The sequence below is a fragment of the Homo sapiens genome, chromosome 2, assembly GCF_000001405.40.
Source record: "Homo sapiens chromosome 2, GRCh38.p14 Primary Assembly".
Lineage (NCBI taxonomy): Eukaryota > Metazoa > Chordata > Mammalia > Primates > Hominidae > Homo > Homo sapiens.
Window position 1 is genome coordinate 148,750,003 of NC_000002.12, and position 13,967 is coordinate 148,763,969.

A 13,967-nucleotide genomic window follows, 5' to 3' on the forward strand; every position below is an offset into this window, starting at 1 on the left:
CTATCAATATGTAGACAGAATTGTCTCCTAAACGGCAGATTAATAGAATTCTTGACAGTTTTGAAGACCTTAGAAGATTATTCATGGAATTGAAGAGATCTTTTTTTTCTGATCATTTTATCATTCTAATTTCCTTATTCTATTTGTGGTTCAATGTGGGTTGACACTGTTGAGAATCAGAAAACTATAGTGGAAAACTTTAGAGGAAGAAATGAATTGATAAATCCTTCTAAAATAGTCATCTCAAGCATGAAGATCATATGTGTTTTAATGGATTAGTATCACCTTTCTATGGGAGAGAAAAGTATTTCATTTAGCTGTATTGCATTAGCAGTCTTCGAATTTACACAGCTATTTTCTTTTTTGATGTAGGCATATGTCCCTTAAAAAAAAAAGTAGCACATGGTTTATGTTTGGGCACTTACCCAAAGACAGGAGAACTTTATAACTCTACCAGTCTTTGTTGTTGTAGTCTGAAGACTTCTTCCATTTTCTGGGTCTTTGGAGAAGAAAATGTTTTCTCCTTAATTTAATTTATGCAGAATACTCAAAATGTGCAACCATGTATATTTTGATTTCATTGAATGCTGATGTTTTCATTTCAGATTGGCTTGCCGTAATTTTGTGGCATTGTGTAAATTAGGGGTCATTTGCTAAATAAGATGTTTCCAGTGTTATCTATTTAGAATCATAATTTCAGTGTGTTGGTTTTGAGCTGTGGTCATTCATTCTTGAAGAGTATAAGGTAAAAAGTGGTCATTTAACTCTTTTTGAATTTAATGTAAATGCTTGTTATTTGGAAGCCTGCCTTTGGTAGTATTTAGGCTGTTACACAAATAATAAGCCATAGATTTGAAAGAAGTAAAGTTAAAAAAGAAGTTGTGTAGCAAAGAGGTGTTCACTTATCAACCCTGAACACAGTATAGGCAGTCCCAGATGGAAATTTGTCCTACTCTGCCCTGTATCTTATTACAGTAATGCTCAGTTCCAAAGTTTTCACATTGTTCCCTTATTAATTAATTTGTGTTTGTCTTACCTTTGTTGCCATGTCATGAGTTTCTTTAGGTAGCAAATTCATCTTAAAGTTTTTTCCCTTATCTTCCCCACATTCTATAACCCATTAATGGGCTGATGGTAGTTAATTTTTAATAACTACCTAGTTGACTGTTTTGTAAATTAAATTACTGCTTAACTCAATGTTTTATAAATTAGAATACATTAATTTTTACATATAATATATTCGTTTATGTATTCAAAATATATTTATTGAAATTACAGATTTTGTTGATTAACAGACTAAGTGGTCCTTGTCTTCATAGAGCTAGTAGCCATCTAGAAGAAAAGCCTATATGGTAGGATAATTTTTTTTTATCTCCCCATCCCTGTAAGTAAATAATGTAAATCAACTCAGAGCTATCTTGGAAATAATAAATTTACCAGACTTTTTTGCCAGTTAAGTAACTGGTTTCTACTGCTTTTTAGTGAATGAATTACGTGCTAAATGATGGAACATTTTTATTTTTAATTTTTTTAGAGTTAGGGGGTCTCAGTATGCTGTCCAGACTGGACTTGAACTCCTGAGCTTAAGTGACTCTCCCGAGTAGCTAGGACTACAGTTGCATGCCACTGTGCCTGGCTGCTAAATGACAGAACTTTTTTTATACTGTATAAAAATAGTAAAGTTCTGATTTTGCAGATTTTTAATCATGTGACTTAATAATGTGTGACTGATTTATCTACAAGTAGTTCTTCCCCACTCAAATTGATGCTATACCCACAATAGAGATACAGTGATACTAGTTGCCTCAGAGTAGCTAAAGATAATTTTTACAGAATTATTAAAACCAAGATTACTCATAAAATAGAAAGTTGCTTTATAACAACATACAGCAGTGAACTGAAAAATTAGTTAACACTGGAAAGAAATATCAGAATGTTTAACTGTAAAGTGTGTGTTGAATTCTTATTACTTGTGATATAAAGACGGCTTTTAACAACACGGCAATACACATTGTAAGCTGGAGCAAGAAGCACCAGAGAAAGAAATCTGAGCAGGTATTTTAATCTCAACATACCATGCAGGAGCATAAGAAGCAATGTTAAACCTGAGTATTGTTATGTAAGAAACTCATTAACGTTCTGCTGATTGGTGGAAAGAGCACTTATCCTTCTCCCCATTCGGAGGTTAGATTAAGCTCTTGATTTAGTAGTGAAGGTAACAAAATTTTATCAGAAGTGAAATGATCAAGAAGCTGAAGAACATGTGACACATCACAGAATTGTTTCCCTTGGCCTCCAGAACACATGAGAACTGCCGTGTTGCTGTCAGTACAAGGTAGAATTTTATTAGATCTAGAAAGCTGTGTTCTTATTCTACCACTGTTGTTGTAGACTGGGGTTGACATCACCATTCCGGAGAACTCCAGCTAATGGTAGAAAGGTATCCACTTAAAGGTGGATGTTTGGAAATACTGGTTCTTATGGTGTGGTCTTATTTTCCAGACTCTGGCTATCCACTTTAAGGACCAAATGCAGCCTCTCAAATGTAGTTAAGCTACCTCTACTAAGAGATTGGGTAACCATAGAATGGCCACTTAGTATTTTAATGCACTAAATGTAATTGTGACATGGACTACAATACTTGAGTTGACATTGTCAGTGTGTTCTCTTCCTGTGGTCAAACTAGGCAGACAAATTACAATAAGAAACCGATGAATTAATTCTAGAAATAATCATCATAGGACTTGAAGTCCAGTGATCAGTGCATTTATTCCATGAAGTTATACCAACACAAGAAATCATGAGAAATTTATTTGGTGAATTTTGAGTTCTTCAATAGACTTCATACAACATACAGGTCAATTTTTATATTGATCTTATAATTTCAATGAGAAAAATTTTCATTTCCAAGTACTAGGGAAACATTTCTTGGGAAATATCTCAGCTTCTGAAAATGAGCCTTCATCTCTAAAATAATACAAGTAAAAAGATTGAGATAGCATCACTTCAGGGAGACTTCCCAGCCCTAAAGTGGCATGATCTTTTTCTAATGTTTGCTGTAAATGGATATGTGTAACCCCCATTCCATCCTGCTAAAGCCGATTGTCTTATCCGATCTCGAGGTGCAAGGCAACAAATATGACCAAGCAAATGTTTACAGCCTTAATTTGAGATGTGTCAGCATTATGCTGGCTGCACTGGTAAAGAGGTAGGTCCCTGAAATACCAGCATTAGAGCTCCTAAGGGAACCATCCTAGGGCCACTGTCCCAGGACATGACATTGTCATTAGCAGAATGAGTGTTAAGAATAAGTATTCTCTAGTACTTAACACTTGGATAGAGGAATTATTTTATATGTCACTGGTACAAAGAATTCAAAATTGCATAATGTTGAAACTTCTGGAAACATGCTAAGTTTGTTTTTATAATCAATTCCGAAAGAGGTATATTATAGTAAATTGCAATATATTAGAGAATATTCATCTTTTATTTTGGACGCACATAAAAAGAAACCCCCATACCTCCTACTTTGTGTAGGGGAACAAACAAGCTATTAGACTTGAAAACTGATAGATCCTCAAATGTGTATAATATCAGAGTTTTGAAAGATCTTGGATGTCTTCTAGTCCAAGACTTGCCTGAGGCATATATTTATTATAGTCTTCCCAAATATCATTGATCCAGCCTTCTTAAATATTATCAGTGGTACAACTCACTGTCTCTCAGGGAAAATTACTAATTTTTAGATAAATCTCCTAATTAATGATTCCTTCATTAGGTTGAATTGAATTGTGTCTTCACTTACTATAATATTATCTGTTAGTAGTTATTGAAACTGGTCGCATTTTTTTCTACAGCCATAAGCTAACTTTTATTTCTTTTTGCAAACATTGTAGCCAATGACATTTTGTATTTTTCATTTAGCTTGTAACACTTCAAGAAGCAAAACTGCTGCTAAACGAAGATGATTACCTTATTAAAGCTGTATATGACTACTGGGTGAGAAAACGTAAAAACTGCAGGGGGCCATCCCTCATTCCTCAGATAAAACAAGAGAAAAGAGATGGCTCTACCAACAATGACCCTTATGTTGCCTTTCGGAGAAGAACAGAGAAAATGCAAACTCGAAAGGTAATGTGCAAATTAGGTTTCATTGAAGGTAGCTTAATAGTATTCAAGATCAATCTTTTTTTTTCTAATAACTTGAATAATTTTAACATAATGGTAGCTAATGGCATTGATGACTTTCTATAAGAAATCCTACTTTTCGTCTGATCCGTGGTCAGACACATTATCCATTGCGCCACTGGCCCACCACAAGAAATCCTACTTTTCAGTAGCTTCTATTGGCCAGTTGTTTACGCTGTTTATCTGCTACCTATGCCTTTTATAAATTTACTGATCATACCATTTTATGCTTGCAGTTGAAGTGATAAGAGGAATTTAGTGTCCTTATGCACCTTGGAAGTTTTGATCTCTTCAGTAAACTAAATATTCTATCACAGATCTCCTGTGTTTGGGAAGCTGATAACTTGAAATACTACTACTATTCCTTGTTGCTCGCTTGAGACTTTACAGTTCCTTGGAAACCATATTGTAGTTCTTCCAAGTGAAAATGGACCTTGCTGCCTCTGGCTGCTACAAGGTCGTGGGAAGTAGGGAAGGGTTCATTTTCAACCCTCTTCTGCAAACAGTCAGAAGTAAGAGTGGAATCTTTCTCCTTTTCTGAGTTGTCAGTTGTGTTCGATTTCAAATTGATGAGCTTGTTCCCATCTGGCTTTCAGAAGCAGTATGAAGCAGAATTTTAAGTAAGAGAAACAGGATCTCATACTGTTAAATGATATGGTATAGAGGAAAGCACTGTTCTGGAGGAGTATTCACTGTCTTCCATTTCTCATAATTAACAGTTAACACCACACACAGTAGTACCTTCTCTAACATTGCAAAGTATCAGGAACGTATAAATGTAAAATAAGGAATTATAATTGGAGGCAAAGCATTTTCTGTGGATTCTCCTAACATTGAAAGCTTGTCCTTGTCAGCTGTTAATATAACAGCTGTGAAGCATGACAGCTGCCAAGGATAGTATATTTTAGGAAAAACTCTCTTCCTGGTTAATAACCAGAATTTCTATAATTCTTGAGGATGTGATTTTTTTAAACATTAGAGGATGGATTTCCCAAGTGTAGATGACATTCCCTAACCCAGACTTGAGTTTTTAATTTGGCATTCTGGTTCTTAGCTAAGGGAATCTACAATATTTTATGAAGATTTGGCACTTTTCTAAGACTGAAACAAGATAAGTTCATAAATATATTAAGACTTTATAAATGTGGACTATTGGACATGAGGAAAGAGAGGTTTATCTAAATCATTAAAAAAAAACCCTGAACTATCAATCGCTTTTTGAAAGCAGTATACAGGCGTGAGAAGTAGGGAAGGGTTCATTTTCAACCCTTAAATATGTCATATATATGTTGCATAACATTTCGGTCACTGACGGGCTGCATATATGATGGTGATCCCCTAAAATTATAATACTGTACTTTTACTGTACCTTTTCTATGTTTAGATATGTTAGATACACAAGTACTTACCTTATGTTAGAGTTGCCTACAGTATTCAGTACAGTAACACACTGTACAGGTTTGTAGCCTAGCAGCAATAGGCTATACCTTCTAGGTTTATGTAAGTACACTGTGACATTTGTGCAACAAAGAAATTGCCTAACAACACATTTCTCAGATCTTTATTTGTTCGATTATTTCTTTAAGAGACTGGATCTTACTGTATTGCCCAGACTGTTCTTGAACTCCTGGGCTCAAGCTGTCCTCCCGCCTTGGCCTCCCAAAGTGCTGGGATTACAGGTGTGAGCCACCACATCCAACCTCTCAGATCTTATCTGTGTCATTAAGCAATGCATGACTGTAATTAATTTCAGATATATTGCAAAACAGACCATTAGCAATGCCTTTTGAAGGAAATTATTGGACTTCCTTTAGTGAATGGGTATGGAATACTTAAGATTAGCAGTATTTATTGGCATATTGACAATATTTTCTGAGTGTTAAAATATGTTTTCTGCTTCTTTTGTTCTAACCATTAGAGAATTGCTAGTAACTGATTCTTGTGTTTAGGCATTTCTTCATTTTGTGATCACTAATACAGGTTTTCCTGACACTCTGATTCCTACCCTTTCTCTTGTTTGTTATTTTTCCATTTTCCTCTGCAAAGAGGTACACTTTCTTTTCTGATGCTCTTTACTTTTTATTCCTTTCTGTTTTCAGTTGTGGGACCAAAGACGATTCCCTATCATGCTCACCATTGCTAGTTAGAAATGTTTATGTGATTTGAAACGAGAAAAATGGGAAAGCACTCAAATAATGAATACTCCCTAGGTGTTCAGGAGGTGGCAAGCATTGGGTTATGCAAAAATGAATACAACTAACAAAGGCTCTCTGTTTTCTGTTTGTGCAAAGTCAAAAACACTTGTGTAGTTGATGCAAAGGGTAAAAGGTCTTCTGAAATATTTGTTTGGCTGTCTGGAATTTAATTTTAAGTCGCTGAACTAATATTTAATTAAGGAGCATGTGAATACTTCAGGGCATTCTTAAATGAGATAGTCTTAAGGCACCAGCATGTCTTAATGCACTGATTGGGAAATCCTAGATCAGCATATGCATTTAATATATTTAACCACATAGATTCAACTCTTAGTGTCTGTGCCTTCTCTCTTCCCTCTGTGAGGCCCAGAAGAAGTAAGATAGTTAAGAGAGGAAATTCCCAGCGTAGTGGTTGTCAGTTCTAGCTGCTCTACATAACAGTCACCTGTGAATCATCCTTGGTCATGAAAAGATGTACAGTTTATTCTATAGTGTAACCATTTGAGAACCACTTCCCTAGAGATTTGGCAGCAAGTACAGAACTGTAATATGTAACTGTATTAGGGAGAAAGGAGTTGGCCCTGAGCAGAGACGGTTGTGAGAAGGAGTAAAGGGGGCAAGTGGATTTGAATACAGGGAATAGGGCCGTCTTAGAAGAATAGAAAAAATGTCAATATGAACTTGTGGTTTTTAATATTGATATAGTTAGGGCTGGGCGTGGTGGCTCACGCCTGTAATCCCAGCACTTTCGGAGACTGAGGCGGGCGAATCACAAGGTCAGGAGTTCAAGATCAGCCTGGCCAACATGGTGAAATGCCATCTCCACTAAAAATACAAAAAATTAGCTGGGCGTGGTGGCAGGTGCCTGTACTCCCAGCTGCTCGGGAGGCTGAGGCATGAGAATCACTTGAACCCGGGAGGCGGAGGTTGCAGTGAGCCGAGATCGCGCCACTGCACTCCAGCCTGGGTGACAGTGCGAGACTCCGTCTCAAAACAAAATATATATATATTGATATAGTTAGAAATAGATATAGATCTGTGCATATATGTACATACATATATTACATACATATTTCCTAGCTCTGTTCACTGAGAGTCTCTAGAAGCAGTGACACCCAGTAGAAATGGGCATGTCTAGCATGTAGATCTTGATTTTAAATACTGTTTTTTGGCTGGGCATGGAGCCTCAGGCCTGTAATACCAGCACTTTCAGAGACTGAGGCGGGTGGATCACCTGAGGTCGGGAGTTCAAGACCAGCCTGACCAACGTGGAGAAACCTCATCTCTACTAAAAATACAAAATTAGCTGGATGTGGTGATGTGCACCTGTAATCCCAGCTACTCAGGAGGCTGAGGCAGGAGAATTGCTTGAACCCAGGAGAGAAGTTGCAGTGAGCCAAAATTGCGCCATTGCACTCCAGCCTGGGCAACAAGAGTGAAACTCTATCTCAAAAATAATAAAATAAAATATATAAAATAAAATACTGTATAAAATAAAATAAAATAAATCTGTTTTTCATTAAAGGGAACCAGGACTCCTTAGGAAAATTATTCCAGGTGTAGGGCTGGAATACAAAGATAAGCCTGGAACACACAGTTTATTATGCCAGAAAATAAGAATATGATTGAAGAATGTTGGAGCCATGTCAGAAGGACGCAGGAGCCAGCTTGAAAGGGGACTCCACTGATAAGAGCTGGGAAAGTTTGAGCATCAAAATAGATTATGAAAGTAATGGATTCTACCCCATAGAGTAACCCATGAGTCCATACTGATGTGGGTGGGTGGGTGGGTGTGGATGGATGAATAGACAGCATTTCCTTACAGTAGATTTCCAAAGCTGTAAGTGTTGGCAGAATGATGGAATTAGAATTATCACTATTTGGCAACCACCATAATAATGCAGATAATTATTTCAGGCAAAAGTTAGAACTAATGGATATTAAACTTAAGGGGGGAAGTTTGATGGTAAAATAGTGTTTCTGTAGTCCTACAACATACTTGTTAATTAATTAATTTATTTATTTTTTGAGATGGAGTCTCACTCTGTTGCCCAGGCTGAAATGTAGTGGTGCAATCTCGCCCCAGTGCAACCTCTGCCTCCTGGGTTCAAGTGATTCCCCTACCTCAGCCTCCCAAATAGCTGGGACTACAGGCGCTTGCCACCACACCCGGGTAATTTTTGTATTTTTAGTGGAGACGGGGTTTCACTATGTTGGCCAGGCTGGTATTGAACTCCTGACCTCAAGTGATCTGCCCGCCTCGGCCTTCCAAAGTGCTGGGATTGCAGGCATGAGCTACTGTGCCCGGCCTAACATATTTGTTAATTTAAAGGGGAAAAATAGTATTTGACTAGGGCAACCTGGGAGATGCCATCTTAAGCAATCAAAGTTAATATCAGCAGTAATGGGACAAATAGTATCTTCTAACTCCTAATATGACATGAGAAGGATACAATACCACTTTTGTGGTAGTTGTACCAAAAATACATAACCTGAATTTAATCGTGGAAAAACATTAATGAAACCCAAATTGAGGAATATTCTACAACATAGTCTCTAGTCTTTGAAAATGTTAAGATCATAATCACTGAAAGATACAGAAAACAATTGTAAGGAGATTAAATTACAGAAGATTAAAGAAACATGACAACCAAATGTGGTTTTTAATATGGAGTCAGATCCTAGACCAGGAAAAAATGTATTGTTATTATTATTACTATTTTTAAGATGGAATCTTGCTCTTGTCGCCCAGGCTGGAGTGCAGTGGTGCAATATCTGCTTACTGCAACCTCTACCTCCTGGGATCAAGCGATTCTCCTGCCTCAGCCTCCCAAGTAGCTGGGATTACAGGCGCCCATCACCACACCCAGCTAATTTTTGTATTTTTAGTAGAGACAGGGTTTTACCATGTTGGCCAGGCTGGTCTCGAATTCCTGACCCCAGGTGATCCGACCGCCTTGGCCTCCCAAAGTGCTGGGATTACAGGCGTGAGCCACTGCGCCCGGCCAAAAAAAGTACTATTATAATAAAAGTTATTATCTTACTGATGTCCTTATAGCAGTAACTATATTTTTTGCTGTAAAGGACATTAGTGGGACAATTGTTGAAATATGAATAAAGTTTATATGTATAAAGAAATTAAGTAATAGGATTATATTAATGTTAATTTCCAGACTTTAATAATTGTACTGTGGTTCTATGTGAATATCATTTTTTTTTGAAAATATATATTAAAGTATATAGGGATAAAGGGGCATTTTATATCTTCAACTTCTCTTGAAATTTTTCAAAAATAGTACTGCTGATAATTTATAGATGTGTGTGTTTATATTCATACATACATATATGTATACACATACAGAGAGATAAAGCAAATGTAAAACATTAACCTTTAGAGAATCTGGATGAAGATATATGAGAATTCTTTATACTGTTTTTGTAACTTTCTTGTAAGACTGAAACTATTTCAAAACAAAAAGGTTTTGTTTTTGTTTTTTATTTGTTTTTTAAAAAAAGGACAAGACTGGGGAAAGGAAAGTTAGGAACGATAATTATTTGGGCATAAAGAGAACAGAGGCTGGGGGCAGTGGCTCATGCCTGTAATCCCAGGACTTTGGGAGGCCAAGGTGGGCAGATCATTTGAGGTCAGGAGTTTGAGACCAGCCTGCTCAACATGGTGAAATCCCATCTCTTCTAAAAATACAAAAAATAGCTGGGTGTGATGGTGGATTCGTGTAATCCCAGCTACTGAGGCTGAGGGAGGAGGGAGGCTGAGGCAGGAGAATCGCTTGAACCTGGGAGGCAGAGGTTGCAGTGAGCTGAGATCACACCACTGCACTCCAGCCTGGGCAACAGAGTGAGACTCTGTCTCACATACACACAAACACACACACACAAAAGCAAAACAAGATATGAATAAGACAGGGTAGAACCTCCAAGAGGAACACTTACTGAACAGGGGAGCCATCTAAAAGGTTCTGGTGCACTTTTGAATATTATTCAGCTGCCAGCTGGCATGTAACCTCATATTATTATCTGCCTTACAATTCTGTATATCTGTTTTCTGTCTGTCATCCTTACTAGATTCTAAGCCTTTTGAGGGTAAGGGACATGTGCAATACCCTGCACAGTGTAGGCACTTTAATAGTTGCTGTCGAAAATATTAATTTTTTTAATTGAAAGGTATTATTGCTGCCTGTTTAAAAAAATGCTTAAACATATGCTTTAGATTTACCTTTTGTCATAGTAATGAAGAAGAAAAAGATGAATTTTTTAAAATTACACAAAAGGATGACTTATTTTTAATATTCGATGTGGAATACCATAATGGGACTTAGTGTAGGTTATTTTTAATATATGACTATTATTTTTCAAATGCAGGAAACTATACACAAAAGAAAAAGAGTATAACTTTGACTTTTTCTCAATTGTTATTTTTCTCTTTTATAATCCTCCAATATGAAACCTTTGGTATTCCTTAGGTTCTTTCTAATGTCATTTCAGATTATTAAATCAAGGCATGAATGATTGCTTAAGTACAGTTCACTCTGGATGCATAGATTGGAGAGGTGGTAGTGGTCTATTTTTAAACAAATAGTTCCATGCCTAATAGTAAAGTGAGGAATCTGTGGATGTTTAACAAAATAGTTTATATTAGTAATAATTTTATATGCAAATAGATGCTACTAATTACAACTGAGCCTTTTCTAGTTATGTAGCAGGGCTTTCACTTTGTATAATAATTAGTTGAAAAGCTAATAAACAGTGTTCTGAAATTCAGTATTTTTGCTAAATCTCTTTTCTACTCAGCAGTGGAGTGTTACATTTACATTGAAAATTGACAGTCCGATTTCTTGAAATGGTTGTTATCCTACTTTCAGTTTTCTGAGTTTCTGAAGTGAAGCTTTACTGGTCATTGTTCATGTTCACATAATAGTACAGTGTATCAAACCATCCAGCCCCCAGTTACAGAGCTGGAGATGGATGGATGAATGGATGAGGGGACTCATTTTGACTGTTACCTTGATCTGGACAGAACTGTTCCTCTCTGTCATTGGAAAATACTTTCCTACACGCTGAATGGACTACATTTTCTGATAACAGATTTTGTTTCAGGTGGACATTTTTTGTTTGTTTACATTGAAATTATCTCTTTATGCCATTCTACCTTTTCAACAGCTGGCAACATTTTTTTTCTGAGTGTCGAGAGATACTTGCTTGTACTTATATTTTCAGAGTTAAATAGTTATAGGTTATCTTACATAGGTTGCTGTTCAGATTTTTTTTAACATTTTACTTTTATAGGATAAATTCAGGTCTGATAAGAGTTTATTGAATAAAGCCGGAAATGTAGATAACTGTGTTGTTTATTCTTCTAAAATTATTATTTTTAATAGAATCGTAAGAATGATGAAGCCTCTTATGAAAAGATGTTGAAACTGAGACGAGAATTTAGTAGAGCCATAACAATTTTGGAAATGATTAAGAGAAGAGAGAAAACAAAACGAGAATTATTGCACTTAACCTTAGAAGTTGTGGAGAAAAGGTAACATTGCTCCTGTTACAACAGTAAAATGACAACTTTACCAAATGATGGGCAAAATGAACCAAAAGATTTTTAGGGGGGAACAGGTTAAGCTTTATGACAGTTGATATTGATTCTGTAAGAATTTATATTTTTTAAAGATTTGTGGTTACTAGTTTTTATAGATTAAGTTATCAATTTGGATTGCAGATTTTGGGAGAGTTTTGTGTATACTGTAGATCCTATACTTAATTTTGTTTTGGCAGAATCATTGAATTTTATTTAGTAAAGAACTCTAGTGATCATATTGTTTACTTCTCTGTATTAAATTTTCTATTAAATCTGAGGGAAATAAGTATTGATTTTATTTTCTGAGTAGGTAGACATTTTTCGTTTCAACTCCTTTTAGAAATGTGTGCTCTAATATAGTATATTTTCCTACAAAATTAAATAGACTAAACAAAAACAGAATTTTGTATGATTCCTGGAGTAAGCATTCTAAACATTTCCTAGTGCTTGATTATATAATATATGTAAGAAATTTGTTTGCTGTGTACCTTAGGCCTTTTTTAGTTTTTTGGTTTGTTTTGTTTTTACCAAATCCCTGTTTCTTTATTCCTGCAAATTTTATCTTTTAAAAGTAATTTGATTGTTAGCCCTTTTTGACTAGGTGACTTCCAATTAATTGAGGTATCACTTATTTTCCTTCTTTATTGTCAAACTATGCAATGTTTTCTTATATTTTTGTTACCTTTTCAAGATACCATTTGGGAGACTATGGTGGTGAAATCCTTAATGAAGTAAAAATCAGTAGATCAGAAAAAGAGTTATATGCCACTCCAGCAACTCTTCATAATGGAAATCATCACAAAGTTCAAGAATGTAAAACTAAGGTGAATATTGTCTGGGAAGAAGCATGTATGGATGGTAATGTTGATCAGAGGAGTTATTGATTTCTGCAGTTGTCTTAATATGGTTTGAGTAAAGAAAAAGTAATTAACGTGACTTTAGTTCTTACCATGAGCCAAGCACTTTGCTAGGAGTATTTATATACATACTGACCAATTAATCCTCATAACAACCCTTAGAGATAGTTGTTGCATCTGTGTGACTTCTATATAATAGCTAGTAAGTGGCAGATTCAAGGTTTCAGTTCAGGTCTAATAGTCCGTCATGTTCAATATGCTATCTGCCTCCCTAGGGAATAAAGGTAATTAAAGTCTAGTTATTATCACTAGCCTTAGCAAACCTTGCATTGTAATGGAAGGAATCAACACCTCAAAGCTTTCTTCATTGAGACTATTGAAAATTATTATTGTCATCATCATTTCCAGAGCCAGCATTTATCAATTGTTATCTACCTTGAGTGACTTTGAGAAAGTCCTGTAATTTCTGGGTCACAGTTTCTTCCTAATGAAAGAGCCAGACTCAGTGGTTATTTTAGTCACTTGGACTAGATAACTATATTTATTTGGTCCTCACTTGGTACATTAATTAAAGTATTTAATTGGGAAATATGAAAACTAATAAAGCCTTTAATTTTAAGGAGCATAGATTTAAATAGGAAACAGATATTGACTGAAGCTTCTAGACAATAGAGCTTTACTCTGTAGCAAAATTTTTTAAATGACCTAGGGTGTTTGTGGAAAATTCATCTTTTAAAAATGTACACAGTTCTCATTTTTCATGGGTTCATTCTTAAAGGTCAAGAAAGAGTGTGGAGCAGGAAGACTCCTTCATTCAGCTCATGTCAATTAAAACACTAAAGTTCTTTCTTATTAATCACAGGCGTCTAGCCCACCATCCTGATTCTCTCTAAATCTCGCTTGTCTCTATAGCCGAAAAAGTTATCAGTGCAAATGTCATTTTGTAAGTTATTTTTAAAAATCCATTTTGTGTCAATCAATGCTTTTCCTAGGTATGTGATTGTTAAGCATTGCAATATGAAAATCTTAACCCAGAATTACTGACAGAATCAGCCTTTATTATATATTGATTCTTATTTTAGACCTCCTCTATGAATAAATACTCAGCCTTCCTAAATACTAACTTTAGGGATT

General features: G+C 35.7%; 1 protein-coding gene across 4 annotated transcripts in view; it reads left to right on the forward strand.

The window, feature by feature from the left end:
* The window catches only part of EPC2 (enhancer of polycomb 2), a 142,819-nt gene that overhangs the window by 105,252 nt on the left and 23,600 nt on the right, over nucleotides 1-13,967 (forward strand). For all 4 annotated transcript variants that reach the window (NM_015630.4, XM_011510941.3, XM_011510943.4 and 1 more), the window contains 3 exons: nucleotides 3,925-4,131; nucleotides 11,780-11,928; nucleotides 12,668-12,800. In NM_015630.4, coding sequence (NP_056445.3) covers nucleotides 3,925-4,131; nucleotides 11,780-11,928; nucleotides 12,668-12,800 — 489 coding nt within the window. The remainder of the gene's footprint in view (nucleotides 1-3,924; nucleotides 4,132-11,779; nucleotides 11,929-12,667; nucleotides 12,801-13,967) is intronic.